At 38.8% G+C, this 18,173-nt stretch overlaps 2 protein-coding genes across 4 annotated transcripts in view; both read left to right on the top strand.

Annotated features, from left to right (window-relative positions):
- The window catches only part of GPR75-ASB3 (GPR75-ASB3 readthrough), a 189,675-nt gene extending 186,337 nt beyond the window's left edge, over nt 1-3,338 (top strand). The window contains exon 10 of the mRNA NM_001164165.2: nt 2,941-3,338. Within this exon, the coding sequence (NP_001157637.1) occupies nt 2,941-3,128 (188 nt within the window). The 3' untranslated portion in view covers nt 3,129-3,338. The remainder of the gene's footprint in view (nt 1-2,940) is intronic.
- The window catches only part of ASB3 (ankyrin repeat and SOCS box containing 3), a 116,974-nt gene extending 113,323 nt beyond the window's left edge, over nt 1-3,651 (top strand). For all 3 annotated transcript variants that reach the window (NM_145863.3, NM_016115.5, NM_001201965.2), the window contains one exon: nt 2,941-3,651. In NM_145863.3, the coding sequence (NP_665862.1) occupies nt 2,941-3,128 (188 nt within the window). In that variant the 3' untranslated portion in view covers nt 3,129-3,651. The remainder of the gene's footprint in view (nt 1-2,940) is intronic.
- The last annotated feature ends 14,522 nt before the right edge of the window (nt 3,652-18,173 follow it).

Here is an 18,173-nt window from a genome sequence, read left to right as displayed (position 1 = left end):
TGTTGATGTGCCACATCTCAGTGGGCAAGTCAGTTACGCTTCTCCTAACAAATGCGAACTGGTCTAGTGTGGCTTGATCACTAATGGTTAAGCTTCTACACATAATTAGCATAAACAAATGATTTATTAAGCTTTAAAGATAGACCTCCAGTGATGTAGTCACATAATCTAGAAAAGCTGGTCAGCACTACATTAAGTTTTAGGGTATCTGGAGGAATCTTCCCAGTCAGCCCATAGAATTTTAAGCCAGTGTAGTCTGTCCACTCTGAGAAGCTGGAGCATCATTAAGGATCCCTTATCTCCATGTGAGCAGCTCTCCTCCGGGTTGCACAGCCATCCTTTATCTTCCTTCTGGTTGTGTAGTAAGTATTCATGTTCCTAAGAATGTGCAGAATGAAGAGATTCAATTTAACAGATGCCTGTTAAACTCTAACTGAATATAAGTAGAAATTCTCTTTAAAAACACACACTGGATTAAACAGTCTTGTCATTTTCTCTTTCATTTCCATCTGACTATGTCCATTGGCATGCTCTGTGTTTGCAGCTGGCCAGCTACACTCTAGAATGCCAGTGTTCCTACCAGCAGAGGTGTGTGCTTACCAAACAGCAGTTATGCTTATTTCTGAAACTTTTTATTACGTTGTGCATATTATTGGAGTTAAATAATTCCAGATTGCACAAGCTAATGAATTATGAGTGTGAAAAGAGAATCATTGTTGCTGTTAAGGCAAAGTAGAATGCAAAAGACTTGATAAAGATAAGCACAGAACAGAAATAGATATTGAATTAGACGTGGCTACAACAACTGAAAGCAAAAAAACCTGTAAAAATATGGAAGGATTATGCACTCACCTTGTTTCATACATGCCTTTAAATCCATGCTGTAACTCAAAGAAAGTGAAACTGTGTCCTTATTTATATAGTGGTGAGTAAAAAATACATAAATAAACTGCAAGCCATAGATGTTGCATTCTAGATGTGTTCATGTATCCATTTTAAATTAGAATGTTTAAAGTATGTATGGTTGTTGTGGTCACCTGCTTTAAGGTGAGTTTCTATTAACTGACCAATTATTGTTCATGATCCTACTAAGAGGGCTTCCTTATACTTGATAGTTGAACATAGTCAATCTACTTAAACCTTTGGAAAACGGTGGTGTTTGCAGCTTGGGCCTGCTTTCCATATGTATTCCTGCAACTTCCTCCAGTGGCCCCTTTACCTGTGTCTTCCCATCTTTCATGTGAGAACCATCATTTCTCCTTTAAGTTTACAGAAAAGTGTCAAATTTAAGTAAGATATGGATATGAAAAAAGTTAGAAATAAATGTGCGTGCTATATACTATAGATACTGTAATCTTATTATTTATAATAGGGAATCTATGACTCATGATTTAAGAAAATGCCCAGCTTAGACTTAGGTTTTATGTACAAAATCGATAACTTTTGCTTTCTTATTTGGCATTTTGAAACACCAGTTTGAGTGATTTCTTTAATTCTGAATAAACTAAACTAAACCTAAACTAGTAAACTAAAAACGATGATGAGTTAACTTCTATGGCTTGGAAGATATTGAAGATGTTAGAGAATTAATTGGTCTCAAGCCCTATGGGTATTAGAGTTTAAAGAACCCTATACCTGGAATCAGACTAGCTGGTCTGGTATCAGCTGTGCTCTTGATAGTACTTGTCTTTGATGCTCTGATCCTGGTCTGTTCATCATTGTTAAATTTCACAGGGATTTATAAAAGATTTCTTGAATTAACAAAAGGCTTTGGTCCGATTCACATAAAAGCAGACATTAACTTCTTTATTTAACACTTTTCATCTTGGAAAATGAAACTGCTATCATATGATTCTTTTCTTTTTTTTTTTGAGAAGGAGTTTCCCTCTTGTTGCCCAGGCTGGAGTGCAGTGGCATGATCTCGGCTCACTGCAACCTCCGCCTCCCAGGTTCAAGCAATTATTTTGCCTCAGCCTCCCTAGTAGGTGGGATTACAGGCATGTGCCACCACGCCAAGCTAATTTTGTATTTTTAGTAGAGACGTTGTTTCACCATGTTGGTCAGGCTGGTTTTGAACTCCTGACGTCAGGTGATCTGCCCGCCTCAGCCTCCCAAAGTACTGGGATTACAGGCATGAGCCACCGCGCCTGGCCTATCATACAGTTCTTAATTATGTGCATTTGAATTGTCCTTTAATTGGTAGTTAGCTTTTGGCTGCACTGCCTTGCCAGATACACACACACACACACACACACACACACACACACACACACACACGCTTTGGGTTCAGATAGATCTGAGTTTGAATCCTGGCTCTGCTGCTTACTAGCTCTGTGACTTTGGAAAGTTGTTTTTTTAAATTTCTACAACAGCCTGATAATATATACTTCATGAAGTTAATGAAGATAAAAAGAGAATTTGAGTGAAGTACATGGGCTTATGGCATAGAAGGCACTCAGTAAATACTCCCTTTCTCTCAGAGTCAATTAAAAATTTTCATTTTATGTTATGGATAAAAAGGAAAACTTGCAAGCTGTACATCTATTCACTTGATGTGATAGGTCTGGAAACCATTTGTAATGAAATAGATTAAGAGGAAGGTAGCATTTGCTATTGTGAGCTTCCACCATTTCTAAAGTTGGTTCATCCATTTCTTAAGTGCAGGTATTAACAGATCTTTAGAATTTGAGCATTTAGTGTTTGCGGCCCTGGATACTGACTTTGAATGTGTGGCCAACAAACTGAAGGGAGAGGAGCCAGTTGAAGGCTGTAGAAAAGAATAAATAAGGTTTATTGTGGTCATACTGACTCAAAGTAGTCTTCTTTCAAGCAATATATCACTTTTATTACTAAGAGTTGGGGGAAAAAAAAATTTACCTTTATGTGCTATTACATCTTTCTGTTTAAAAAAGTTTCACCTTGCTTTTTTTGTTTCTCCAGCCACTGTTCCATCCCTGACCCATCTTTGTCGTTTGGAAATTCGGTCCAGTCTAAAATCAGAACGTCTACGGTCTGACAGTTATATTAGTCAGCTGCCACTTCCCAGAAGCCTACATAATTATTTGCTCTATGAAGACGTTCTGAGGATGTATGAAGTTCCAGAACTGGCAGCTATTCAAGATGGATAAATCAGTGAAACTACTTAACACAGCTAATTTTTTTCTCTGAAAAATCATCGAGACAAAAGAGCCACAGAGTACAAGTTTTTATGATTTTATAGTCAAAAGATGATTATTGATTGTGAGATAGGTTAGGTTTTGGGGGGCCAGTAGTTCAGTGAGAATGTTTATGTTTACAACTAGCCTTCCCAGTAAAAAAAAAAAAAAAAAAAAAAAAAATTGTAAACATCACTTATATTACTTTATTGCAGCTTCATCACCAGTACATTATATGTTGTAATATTTATTTACCTGATCATTTTGATCATTTTCTGCTTTATTTTGCTAATAAACTGTGATGTTACTTCTAGTGCTAAACATGGCATATTTCCACCTATGATTCGTGTTTACCTGGTATTAGGAGCTCAGAATGGAATGCATAAAGCTTCACTGGAAGTGTATACAACTGTGGTGTAGAATCTGTTATTATTATCATTATTATTTTATTTAGACTTGACTATCTCTTATGTTTATTAAAGAACATGTTTTCCTATTCAGTTGCTTTTTTTTTTTTTTTTTTTTTGGAGACAGAATCTTGCATTGTCACCGAGGCTGGAGTGCAGTGGTGCAATCTCGGCTCACTGCAACCTCTGCCCCAGGGTAATTCAGTCACTTTTATGAAGAATTGATACTCATTGCCGTTTCACATGTAAACTCACAGGAAAAAATTACTTTGAAAGAACATAGAAAATCAATCATATTGCTGGGTTTTCCCTTCCAGTTTCTTTTCATTCTTTGGCAAAACAAACAAACAAACAAAACCAACCAACCCAATTCTAATCTGCAAAGGCAAGAACAGCCCTAAACTCAAAGATGTGCTCAGCTGGGAAAAAAAATGGTTTCAGTTTTGAGATAAATGGGCATGTTAGCACAATTAGGATTTTAATCAGGAGACTGAGAGGGGCATGTCTGTGGCACCATCTTTAAAGAAAGAAAGGGGCCGGGCGTGGTGACTCACGCCCTTAATCCCAGCACTTTGGGAGGCCAAGGCAGGCGGATCACGAGGTCAGGAGATTGAGACCATCCTGGCTAACATGGTGAAACCCCATCTGTACTAAAAATACAAAAAAATTATCTGTGCATGGTGATGGGTGCCTGTAGTCCCAACTACCCTGGAGGCTGAGGCAGTAGAATGGCGTGAACCTGGGAGACGGAGCTTGCAGTGAGCCGAGATGGCGCCACTGCACTCCAGCCTGGGAGACAGAGTGAGACTCCGTCTCGAAAGAAAGAAAGGTAGGTATTACCGAGTTACTTAGTATTATATATAAAATTCAGGTTCCATTCAGCTCTAGAATCATTGAGCAGCTTTGTTCCTATGAAGCAGTAATAGCCAGTTCTACTAATATTATGGTGTTTTTCCTTCTTATTATCTAGATAAGCTGTCAAACAGTCCATGAAATAAAGACCTCAGAATCCTAGATTAATGAGGCGCCACCTCATGGGTTTTTACAATTGCTTGATCTAAATCTAGAGTCAGGAAGAACTAAACGCTGGATCAAGTGAGCCATGATAAGAGGCTATAGAGAGTGACCTTGAGAAAAAGGTTATGAGAGCATTACTGTCACAGTAGACTACCAGGAGGCAATGTCTTCTGTCCTGTTGGGATCCTGTGGCTTAAAATAGATGAGAGCGGGCCAGCTGTGCCTGTTTCTGATAGACGTTTGGTGTTTGGCAAAAGCAGTGATGAAGGTGGACCAAACAAGGATGACATCACTAAGACCCAAAGGGATGACTGAGCTGTTACCTCAGACTAGAACTGCCTGTGGGTTGGAGATAAGAGTTTGAATGTGGGTGTACAGGCAGAAATAAGGTTGCATATAGAAAACCAGGTGGACATTCTGATAATTTCATATGGAAATTCCAAAACTGTGTATATTGTATAGTATTTTTTAAATGTCATAATCTTTATTTTCTAAACCCTAAGTCTCTGATTTGTAAGATAGCACCCAGCTTTTTCTTGGGGGAAAATGTATGTAGAATGTTTAATTTTTTTTTTTAATTTTTATCTATTTCTATAGGTTGCTGGGGAACAGGTAGCATTTGGTTACATGAGTAAGTTCTTTAGTGGTGATGTGTGAGATTTTGGTGCACCCATCACCCAAGCAGTGTACACTGTACCCAATATGTAGTCTTTTTTTTTTTTTTTTAATAAGTAGACAGTTTATTTGGGTCAAGTTTAAGGATTATAACCTGGGAGCAAAGACTCAAGTTGCCTGGAATCTACACTTTGATTAGCAGCAGTTGCCAATGTGTAGTCTTTTATCCCTCACCCTCCTCTCACCCTTTCCCTGAGTCCCCAAAATCCCCTGTATTATTCTTACGCCTTTGCATCCTCATGGCTTAGCTCCCACTCATGACCGAGAACATACGATGTTTGATTTTCCATTTCTCAGTTACTTCACTTAGAATAATGGTCTCCAATTCCATCCAGGTTGCCGCAGATGTAATTATTTCACTTTTTTTTTTTTTTTTTTTTTTGAGATGGCGTTTCGGTCATTGCCCAGGCTGGAGTGCAATGGCGCGCTCTCGGCTCACCGCAGCTTCCACCTCCCGTGTTATAAAGCAATTTTCCTGAGTAGCCAGGATTACAGGCATGCGCCACCACGCCCGCCTAATTTTGTATTTTTAGTAGAGAAGAGGTTTCTCCATGTTGATCAGGCTGGTCTCAAACTCCTGACCTCAGGTGATCGGCCCGCCTCGGCCTCCCAAAGTGCTGGGATTACAGGTGTGAGCCACCACGCCCGGCCTGCTCTTTTTTTTTTTTTTTTTTTTTTTTAAACGATCTTTCTATTCTTTTTTTTTTTTTTTAGTACTTTAAATTCCAGGGTACATGTGCAGAACATGCCGGTTTGTTATGTAGGTATACATGTGCCATGGTGTTTTGCTGTGCCCATCAACCCATCATCTATATTAGGTATTTCTCCTAATGCTATCCCTCCCCTAGCCCCCAACCCCCTGACAGGCCCCGGTGTGTGATGTTCCCCTCCTGGTGTCCATGTGTTCTCATTGTTCAACTCCCACTTATGAGTGAGGACATGTGGTGTTTGGTTTTCTGTTCTTTTGTTAGTTTGCCGAGAATGATAGTTTCCAGCTTCATCCATGTCCCTACAAAGGACATGAACTCATCCTTTTTTATGGCTGCATAGTATTCCATGGTGTATATGTGTCACACTTTCTTTTTCCAGTCTATCATTGATGGGCATTTGGGTTGGTTCCAAGTCTTTGCTATTATGAACAGTGCCGCAATAAACATACGTGTGCATGTGTCTATGTGGTAGCATGATTTATAATCCTTTGGGTATATACCCAGTAATGGGATGGCTGGGTCAAACGGTATTTCTAGTTCTAGATCCTTGAGGAATCGCCACGCTGTCTTCCACAGTAGTTAAGCTAATTTACACTCTCACCAACAGTGTAAAAGTGTTTCTATTTCTCCACATCCTCTCCAGCATCTGTTGTTTCCTGACTTTTTAATGATAGCTGTTCTAACTGGCATGAGATGGCATCTCATTGTGGTTTTGATTCGCATTTCTCTGATGACCAGTGATGATGAGCATTTTTTCATATGTTTTTTGGCTGTATAAATGTCTTCTTTTTCAAAGTGTCTGTTCATATCCTTCACCCACTTTTTGATGGGGTTTTTTTCTTGTAAATCTGTTTAAATTCTTTGTAGATTCTTGATATTAGCCCTTTGTCAGATGGATAGATTGCAAAAATTTTCTCCCATTCTGTAGGTTGCCTATTCACTCTGACGATAGTTTATTTTGCTGTGCAGAAGCTTCTTAGTTTCATTAGATGCCATTTGTCAATTTTGGCTTTTGTTGCCATTGCTTTTGGTGTTTTAGTCATGAAGTGTTTGCCCATGCCTGCGTCCTGAATAATATTGCCTAGGTTTTCTTCTAGGGTTTTTATGGTTTTAGGTCTTATTTTTAAGTCGTTAATCCATCTTGAGTTAATTTTTGTATAAGGTGTAAGGAAGGATCCAATTTCAGCTTTTTGCATATGGCTAGCCAGTTTTCCCAACACCATTTATTAAATAAGGAATCCTTTCCCCATTTCTTGCTTTTGTCAGGTTTGTCAGAGATCAGATGGTTGTACATGTGTGGTGGTGTTATATCTGAGGCCTCTGTTCTGTTCCATTGGTCTATATATCTCTGTTGGGTACCAGTACCATGCTGTTTTGGTTACTGTAGCTTGTAGTATAGTTTGAAGTCAAGTAGAGTGAAGCCTCCAACTTTGTTCTTTTTGCTTAGGGTTGTCTTGGCTATGCGAGTCTTTTTTGGTTCCATATGAAATTTAAAGTAGTTTTTTCCAATTCTGTGAAGAAAGTCAATAGTAGCTTGATGGGGATAGCATTGAATCTATAAATTACTTTGGGCAGTATGGCCATTTTCACGATACTGATTCTCCCTATCCATAAGCATGGAATGTTCTTCCATTTGTTTGTGTCTTCTTTTATTTCCTTGAGCAGTGGTTTGTAGTTCTCTTTGAAGAGTTCCTTCACATCCCTTGTAAGTTGTATTCCTAGGTATTTTATTCTCTTTGTAGCAATAGTGAATGGGAGTTCACTCATGATTTGGCTCTGTCTGTCTGTTATTGGTATATAGGAATGCTTGTGATTTTTGCACATTGATTTTGTATCCTGAGACTTTGCTGAAGTTGCTTATCAACTTAAGGAGATTTAGGGCTGAGACGATGGGGTTTTCTAAATGTACAAGCATGCCATCTGCAAACAGAGACAATTTGACTTCCTCTTTTCCTAATTGAATACCCTTTATTTCTTTCTCTTGCCTGATTGCCCTGACCAGAACTTCCAACACTATGTTGAATAGGAGTGGTGAGAGAGGGCATCCGTGTCTTGTGCCGGTTTTCAAAGGGAATGCTTCCAGTTTTTGCCAATTCAGTATGATATTGGCTGTGGGTTTGTCATAAATAGCTCTTATTATTTTGAGAATACATTCCATCAATACCTAGTTTATTGAGAGTTTTTAGCATTAAGTGCTGTTGAATTTTGTCAAAGGCCTTTTCTGCATCTATTGAGATAATCGTGGTTTTTGCCATTAGTTTTGTTTATGTCTTGGATTATGTTTATTGATTTGCATATGTTGAATCAGCCTTGCATCCCAGGGATGAAGCCGACTTGATCGTGGTGGATAAGCTTTTTGATGTGCTGCTGGATTTATTTTGCTAGTATTTTATTGAGGATTTTCGCATCGATGTTCATCAGGGTTATTGGCTTAAAATTTTCTTTTTTTGTTGTGTCTCTGCCAGGTTTTGGTATCAGGATGCTGGCCTCATAAAATGAATTAGGGGGGATTCCCTCTCTTTCTATTGTTTGGAATAGTTTCAGAAGGAATGGTACCAGCTCCTCTTTGTACCTCTGGTAGAATTGGCTGTGAATCTGTCTGGTCCTGGAGTTTTTTTGGTTGGTAAGCTATTAAATACTGCCTCAATTTCAGAACTTGTGATTGATCTATTCAGGGATTTGACTTCTTCCTGGTTTAGCCTTAGGAGGGTGTATGTGTCCAGGAATTTATCTATTTCTTCTAGATTTTCTAGTTTATTTGCATATAGGTGTTTATAGTATTCTCTGATGGTAGTTTGTATTTCTTTGGGATGGGAGGTGAAATCCCCTTTATCATTTTTTATTGTGTCTATTTGATTCGTCTGTCTTTTCTTCTTTATTGGTCTGGCTAGCAGTCTGTCTATTTTGTTGATCTTTTCAGAAAACCATCTCCTGGATTCACTGATTTTTTTTGAAGGCTTTTCGGTCTCTAGCTCCTTCATTTTTGCTCTGATCTTGGTTATTATTTGTCTTCTGCTAGTTTTTGAATTTGTTTGCTCTTGCTTCTCTAGTTCTTCTAATTGTGGTGGTAGGGTGTCAATTTTAGATCTCTCCTGCTTTCTCTTGTGGGCATTTAGTGCTATACATTTCCCTCTACACCCTGCTTTAAATGTGTCCCAGAGATTCTGGTACATTGTGTCTTTGTTCTCATTGGTTTCAAAGAACATCTTTATTTCTGCGTTCATTTCATTATTTACCCACTAGTCATTCAGGAGCAGGTTGTTCAGTTTCCATGTAGTTGTGTGGTTTTGAGTGAGTTTCTTAGTCCTGAGTTCTAATTTGATTGCACTGTGATCAGACAGACTGTCTGTTATGATTTCTGTTCTTTTGCATTTGCTGAGGAGTGTTTTACTTCCAATGATGTGGTCAATTTTAGAATAAGGGCAATGTGGTGCTGAGAAGAATGTATATCCTGTTGATTTGGGGTGGAGAGTTCTATAGATGTCTATTAGGTCCACTTGGTCCAGAGTTGAGTTCAAGTCCTGGATATCCTTGTTAATTTTCTGTCTTGTTGATCTGTCTAGTGTTGACAGTGAAGTGTTAAAGTCTCCCGTTATTATTGTGTGGGAGTCTAAGTCTCTTTATAGGTCTCTAAGAACTTGCTTTACAATCTGGGTGCTCCTTTATTGGGTGCATATATATTTAGGATAGTTAGCTCTTCTTGTTGCATTGATCCCTTTACCATTATGTAATGGCCTTCTTTGTCTCTTTTGATCTTTGTTGGTTTAAAGTCTATTTTATCAGAGGCTAGGATCGCAACCCCTGCTTTTTTTTGCTTTCTGAATTTGCTTTTGAATATTCCTCCATCCCTTTATTTTGAGCCTGTGAGTGTCTTTACACGTGAGATGGGTCTCCTGAATACAGCACACCAATGGGTCTTGACTCTTTATCCAGTTTGCCAGTGTTTGTCTTTTAATTGGTGCATTTAGCCCATTTACATTTAAGGTTAATATTGTTAAGTTTGAATTTGATCCTGTCATTATGATGCTAGCTGGTTATTTTGCCCATTAGTTGATGCAGTTTCTTCATAGCATTGATGATCTTTACAATTTGGTATGTTTTTGCAGTGGCTGGTACTGGTTGTTCCTTTCCATGTGAAGTGCTTCCTTCAGGAGCTCTTGAAAGGCAGGTGTGGTTGTGGCAAAATATCTCAGCATTTGCTTGTATGTAAAGGATTTTATTTCTCCTTCGCTTATGAAGCTCAGTTTGGCTGGATATGAAATTCTGGGTTGAAAATTCTTTTCTTTAAGAATGTTGAATATTGGCCCCCACTCTCTTCTGGCTTGTAGGGTTTCTGCCAAGAGATTCCTTGTTAATCTGATGGGCTTCCCTTTGTGGGTAAAGTGACCTTTCTCTCTGGCTGCCCTTAACATTTTTTCCTTCATTTCAACCTTGGTGAGTCTGATGATTATGTGTCTTGGGGTTGCTCTTCTCAAGGAATATGTTTGTGGCATTCTCTGTATTTCCTGAATTTGAATGTTGGCCTGACTTGCTAGATTGGGGAAGTTCTTCTGGATAATATCCTGAAGAGTGTTTTCCAACTTGGTTCCATTCTCCCTGTCACTTTCAGGTACACCAATTAAATGTAGATTTGGCACTGTTCATGACTTCAGGTAAAGATGGCTCATATTTGACAGCTTACAGAATAACATGAGAGTGTTATAAACACACATTCCCCCCTCCCCACCTTTATCCTTCCTGAATTGCTTTACAAGCCGTTTAAGAACAATTTAATATTCCTGTGTGCAGCAGTTCAGTTTTCTTGTTTTGCTTTCTCTCATTTTTCTCTTTAAGGCTCAATTGTCTGTTTATTTTCATTTGTATTTATTATTGTTGTTAAGTGACAAATGGTCATTGAAACATAATACCTTACAGTAAGTAACCTCTTTTTTGTTCAGTACAATTCTATAGTTTTTGTGAGATAAGGAACTGATTCTGCTTACTATTTCTGTCACATTGGTAGAAAATGTATAGCCCCTATTTGCAACAACACGTGAATCATATTGAGAGGAGGCCAGTCTGAATTATATTTTTTATGGAAAAATACTTTGAAATAACTTAGGCACGAATTTTAAGTACATTTCTTCTGCAGTTGTTTTAGTGAATGTAATGTATTTAAATTTTAAATAAAGGACATTTATTAACCTGCCACTGTGCTGATAAATTTTTTTTTTAAATTCTCATATAGGGATAACAATAATAGCTCATTTTAAGTGTTTCATTTAAAAGGAAATATATGATATTCAAGAAACAATAAGCCAGGTACAGTGGCTCACGCCTGTAATCCCAGCACTTTGGGAGGCGGAGGTAGGAGAATTACTTGAGGTCAGGAGTTCAAGACCACCCTGGGCAACATAGTGAAACCCAGTCTGATACGGTTTGGATGTTTGTCCCCTCCAAATCTCAGGTCGAAATGTGATTCTCAGTGTTGGAGGTAGGGCCTGGTGGGAGGTGATTGGATCATGGGGGCAGATCCCTCATGAATGGTTCAGTACCATTCCCTCAGTGTTAAGTGAGTTCTCGCTTAGTTAGTTCACTGGAGATCTGGTTCTTTAAGAGTGTGTGGCACTCCCAACCTCTGTCTTGCTCTCACTTTTGTCATGTGACAGACTGGCTCTTTGTTACTTTCTGCCATGTTGTCAACTTCTTGAGGCCTCATCAGAGGCAGATGCCAGAACTATGCTTTCTTAAGGCCTGCAGAACCTTAAGACGATTAAACCTCATTTCTTTATAAATTACCCAGCCTCAGGTATTTCTTTATAGCAGCACAAAAGTGGCCTAATACACTGACTCTACAAAAAAATGAAAAAAAATTAGGCATGGTGGCACACATCTGGAGTCCTAGCTGCTTGGGAGGCTGGGGCAGGAGGATCCCTTGAGCCCAGGAGTTTGAGGCTGCAGTAAGCTAAGATTAAAAAAGAAAAAACAAAGAAGATATATATATTTTAAAATTCAGAAAAAAATAAGGGAGGAAGAGAGATGGAACTACAGTCTTATCCAGACCCATTATTAATGTTAACTTATGTGTTAGAATATTTTTTTCTCATTTAAAAAAAATCTGTACGCAAGTTTGACGGAGAATTTTTTTTTTCATAGTTAAACCACGTTTACAATTTTGTATTGCTGATCAATCCACCTTTTTATCATGTTAGTGATACCTGCAGCCAAGCTCAAGCCAAGAGTTATGACAAATTCTGAATTGGAAAGAATGAGAAATAATGAGGCATCTCCAGTTGATTATTTTCCTAAGACATCTGCATAGAGCAGTCTCTCCCTCCTATTGGTAAAGGAAAGAAGAGAACGGAGGTGAGACCTTTGTGAACTTGCCCCAATCTGATCTCAGCTCAGGGTAGTCATGTAATTGCCTGTCCTTTGTATTACTCTATTATAACTATGTGTGGTGTGTATTTTTAATGAAGGAATTTAAAATGCAATTGTTGCAGTAAAGATTTGTGTCTGCATGATTTTTCTGTCTCTTGGCTTCTTGTTCATGCGTAGCTCTTAATCGATGGAGTAGAACAGGTGGTAATTGCCACTGGCACACTGAGACTTGTGAATAGCATCTGTTTATGTCTCTTTTACCATTGAATGGTTAGGGTAACCTTCTCCTCACTGCTTTCCTATGTGGATGGTAAAAGTCTATCATGAGTCATTATAAGGTGCTAATTTACACTGTTTTTCTAACATGATGGAATAGGTGAAGAAGAAAGTCCATCTGGTGACTAAATATGATTATGATTTGAATTGAACAATTAAAAAGAAGGCATAATACTTCTGAGGTTATTATGGATTACCGGGTCAAATAATATGTGCCAAAAATACCAATTCCAATTCAGAGTATTTCCTTGAGTAGATGGAGTAATTAGTAATGTGGAGTCTGGAGTTTGGTTTTGACACTTAAAAATCATTATTTACTTTTAATTATATTAGATAATAAAACATTCAAACCCTTATAGTCTTCATCTTGTTTGTAATTAGTTTTGTTAAGCCCACTCTTAAATGTTGTGTGGTATTTGTTTATGTATGTTGATGTAACCAGCCCTGGATGTAGACGCTTGATCAGGTTCATATTTGATACTCATACACTTTTTTTCTTGAAGTAGTGCTTTATAGATGTTGGGTACTTCATCCCTCCTAGTGATGTTAGCAGCAGTTGGTGATAACTAGCTAAATCTATTAATTCATTATAGTTTCCTTTTTAAAAAATATTTACTGTGGAGAATTATGAAATGAACTATGTTCTCATCACTCAGCTTCAATAGTGATCAACTCATGGTTAATCTTATTTCCTTTTTCCCACCAATTCTCTCCCTTCCAGAGACATTTTGAAGAAAATTCTAGACATGTTATCTTTAAATATTTTAGTGTGTATCTCTAGAAGTCACGGACTTCCCTTTTAAAACATAACTATGGTACTATCATCATCCCCACCTCCCTAAAAGATCAGCAATAACTTCATAATACCATCAGATATCCAGTCAGTATTTGCATAGTTTTAATTGCCCTGTAACTGTTTTTTTAGTAGTTTGCTTGAATCCGGATCCAAAAAAGGTGCCTATGATGTGCTCTTTTTTCTTTGAAATGTTTTGGTTGAAGGTGTTAGGTGATTTTCCCACAGGATGGATTTTGTCTTTTTTTTTTTTTTTTTTTTTTAGATGGAGTCTCGCTCTGTTGCCCAGGCTGGAGTGCAGTGGCGCGATCTCGGCTCACTGCAAGCTCCGCCTCCCAGGTTCACGCCATTCTCCTGCCTCAGCCTCCCAAGTAGCTGGGACTACCGGCGCCTGCCACAACACTCAGCTAATTTTTTGTATTTTTAGTAGAGACGGGGTTTTACCGTGTTAGCTAGAATGGTTTCCATCTCCTGACCTCGTGGTCCGCCCGCCTCAGCCTCCCAAAGTGCTGGGATTACTGGTGTGAGCCACCATGCCTGGCCTGGATTTTGGTGATTGTAGTCCCACACTGTAAGTGAGCATGTTCCTTGTTTCTTCTTGTATTATATATTCCTGTGTAATGAATTTCCTCAAAACGTAGCAACTTAAAACAATAATTAACATTACCTCACAATTGCTGTGTGAAATTCAAAAGTGGCTTGGCCGAGTGGTTATCACTCAGGGTCTGTCATGAGGTTGCATTCAAACTGTAAGCTGGGGCTGCAGTGATCTAAAAGCTTGATCAGGGCAGAAGGAGCCACTCCAAGATGGCTCACTCACATGGCTGTTGGCTGGAGGCCTTGGTCCCTCACCACATGCACCTCTCCATACAACTGCTTGAGGCTCCTCTCATGTCAGCTCGCTTACTCCAGTGCAAGTGACCTTAGAGCAAGGTGGATGCCACAGTGTCTTATAATCTATTCTTGGAAGTCACACACCATCATTTCTAATCTGTTCAATTCATTTCAAGCAAATCACAAAGTACAGCCCATACTTAAGGAGAGAGGAACTAGGCTTTGCTTTTGGCAGGAAGGAGTATCAAAGAATTTGTGGACAGCTCTTTAAACTACAACACTTACTTCCTGTAAATTAGTAGTCAGATGTAGACATGAATGCAACATACTTTGGGCCCAGTGCAAAATGAAAATGTTGGACCTGTTGTTCAAATTTCCCTTCCTCCCCTCCCTTCCCCTCTTCTTCTCTTTCCTTTTTTTTTCTTTCTTGCTCTTTCTCTCTCCCTTCCTTTCTTTCTTGCCCTCCCCTCACTCCCTCCCTCCCTCACTCCCCCCTTCCCTCACTCCCCCCCCTCCCTCCTCACTCCCTCCCTCCCTTCCTTTCTTCCTCTCTCCCTCCTTCCATTGGTTTGGCTCTGTATCCCCACTCAAATTTCATCTCAAATTGTAATCCCCACATGTTGTGGGAGGGACCTGGTGGAAGGTGATTGGATCGTGGGAGCAGATATTCCCCATGCTGTTCTCATAAGTTCTTGCAAGCTCTGATGGTTTAAATAAATGTGGGACTTCCCCACTCGTGCTCGCTCTCTCCTGCCACCTTGTGAAGAAGATGCTTGCCTCTCCTTGCCTTCCACCATGATTGTAACTTTCCTGAGGCCTCCCCAGCCATGTGGAACTGTGAGTCAATTAAACCTCTTTTCTTTATAAATTACCCAGTCTCAGGTAGTTCTTTATAGCAGTGTAAAAACGAACTAATTCTTTTTCTTTCACACAGGGTCTTGTTCTGTCACTCAGGCTGGAGTGCAGGGGTATAATCATAGCTCACTGCACTCATGAGCTCTTGGGCTCAAGGGATCCTCCTGCCTCAGCCTCCCAAGTAGCTAGGACTACAGGCATGCACCAGCATGCCTGGCTGATTTTTGTATTTTTTGTAGATACAGGGTCTCGCTATGTTGCTCAGGATGGTCTCAAACTCCTGGCCTCAAGTGATCCTCCCACCTTGGCCTCCCAAAGTACTGGGATTGCAGGTGTGAGCCACCTTGGCTGGTCCAAACAGGGCAGCAGAACATAAAATGGGACCCTTCTGAGCTCAGAGCCCTGTGAAACTGAATAGATTACACCTATGAAACCAGTCCTAGATGTAGAGGCTTCCTCGGATTCAGATTCAATACTCATACACTTTCTGTCTTGCATACTGTTTCATAGATGTTGGTTACTTCATCTCTCCTAGTGATATTAGCAGCAATTGGTGATCACTAGCTGGATCTATTAATTCGTTATAGTTTTCTTTACATACTAGCTGTGATAATTTCAACAGAAGAATTTCCCTTGATAATTTGGTTACTCTGAGATCTGGTTTGTATAGAAAAAATAGTTATTTTCCTTTATTTGCCAGTTTTCAGAATAATGAATTAGTTCTCTAATATCCTTTAAAGATGGTCGATAGGCTTTTTGTTAACTTTTAAGTTCAGGGGTACATGCGCAGGTTTGTTACATAGGTAAACTTGTGTCATGGGAGTTTGTTATGCAGATTATTTCATCCACCCAGGTATTAAGTCTAGTACCCATTAGTTACTTTTCCTGATCCTCTCCCTTCTCCCACCCTCCTTCCTCCAATAGGCCACGGTGTGTGCTGTTCCCCTCAATGTGTCCATGTGTTCTCATCATTTAGTTTCCACTTACAAGTGAGAAAATGTGCTATTGGGTTTTCTATTCCTGCATTAGTTTGCTAAGGGTAATGGCCTCCAGCTTCATCTGTGTCCCTGCAAAGGACATGATCTCATTCTTTTTATGGCTGCATAGTATTGCACGGTGTATATATTCCACATTTTCTCCATCCAGTCATCATTGATGGGCATTTAGGTTGGTTCCATGTCATTGCTATTGTGAATAATGCTGCAATGAACATATGTGTGCATGTGTCTTTATACTAGAATGATTTATATTCCTTTGGGTATATACCCAGTGATGAGATTGCTGGGTCGAATGGTATTTCTGTCTTTAGATCTGTAAGGAATCGCCACACTGTCTTCCACAATGGTTGAACTAATTTACACTCCCACCAACAGTATATAAGTGTTTTTTTCTTCACAACCAGCATTAATATAATCATAGATTTTTGATGTTTTCTAATCTATTGCAGTTAATTACTCTTATTGATATTGATTGTCCTATCTTTAATTAGTGTTTAAGTATTCTTTGTTAGCTTTCTTGCGTTCTGGTAATAAGATAGTTCAGGTTTATGTTGTACATTTCCCTCCTCAGACCTGGAATCAGACCTATTTTTGCAAAGAATTTTGTTTGCTTTTTCAGAAATGTTATTATATGGACTGTAATACACATGACATGCATTGGGGAGCTCATTTCTACTGGTTTGATCATTAATCACTTAGTGGACAGAGCTAAGAAATACAGTCCTGCATCACATAACGATGTTTTGTTCGACAAACTGCATATATAATGGTGGTCCCATAAGATAGTACTGTACTTTTACTGTACTTTTTGTATGTTTATATATACAAATACTTACTCTTGTATTATAATTGCCTACAGTATTCAGTACAGTAACATCCTGTACAGGTTTGTAGCCTACAAGCCATAGACTACACCATACAGCTTAGATGTGTAGTAGGCTGGCTATACCATCTATGTTTGTTTAAGTACACTTTATGACATTCACGCAATGACTGAAATTGCCTAAGACACATTTCTCAGAATGTATTTTATTGTTAAGTGATGCGTGGCTGTCTGTGTATATTCATTCTGTTTATAATCTTTATACCAGTACTTCAAATTCAGTACTCTAATTTTTTTTTTTTTTTTTGAGATGGAGTTTCGCTCGTTGCTCAGGCTGGAGTGCAGTGGCGCAATCTTGGCTCACTGCAACCTCCGCCTCCCAGGTTCAGGAGATTCTCCTGCCTCAGCCTCCCGAGTAGCTGGGATTACAGGTACCCGCCCAGCTAATTTTTGTATTTTTGGTAGAGACAGGGTTTCACCATGTTGGCTAGGCTGGTCTCGAACTCCCAACCTCAGATGATCTGCCTGCTTCAGCCTCCCAAAGTGCTGGGATTACAGTCATGAGCCACCATGTGCAGCCAGTACTGTAAATTTTTTATTCAACTTCATGGATCTTATATCTGTGTATTTCCTGTCTTTTATGATGAAAATGCTACTTCTCAATGACACTAACAATTACTCATTTGTTTCATACAAGACTCACACACAATGGTCTCGGAATAACAGCTTCTACCCAGCCTTCAATCATTAAATAGTTTCTAATTCTTATTTCCCCTAAACAACCTTTTTTTTTTTTTTTGTCATATAAGTATAGCTCACTAGGGGTGTACACTCAGATTGCTGTGTTTTAAAGTCATTTGTATGCACAGGATTGTGTTTCATTTTTGTCTTTTAGGAATTTAAAATTTTATTTTTGCTTTATGATTGTGGGAAATATTTACATGGTTTCAAAGTCAAATTTACAGGAAAAAGTATATTCAAAGAAATGTAGCTTCTGTCTTCTATCCTCCTCATCCTATTTCTCCCTCTTCCAAAGGAAGCCTGTTCATAGTTTATTCTTTTATTTACTTTAAACATAAGCATATATTTTCAAAACCCTTCTTTTGATAAGCAGAAAAGTCATGTATACAATTTTATTCATCCTGCTTTTGTCACTAACATATATCCTGGAGATAATGCCGTAATAGTATATAGAGAGCTTATTGTTTTTTATAGCAACATATTACTTCACTGTGCAGATATTCCACAGTGTATTCAACTTTTCCCCTCT

Source organism: Homo sapiens, chromosome 2 (assembly GCF_000001405.40).
Source record: "Homo sapiens chromosome 2, GRCh38.p14 Primary Assembly".
Classification (NCBI taxonomy): domain Eukaryota; kingdom Metazoa; phylum Chordata; class Mammalia; order Primates; family Hominidae; genus Homo; species Homo sapiens.
The sequence above is the reverse complement of the archived record's forward strand: the minus strand, read 5'-3'. Positions and strand labels throughout refer to the sequence as shown.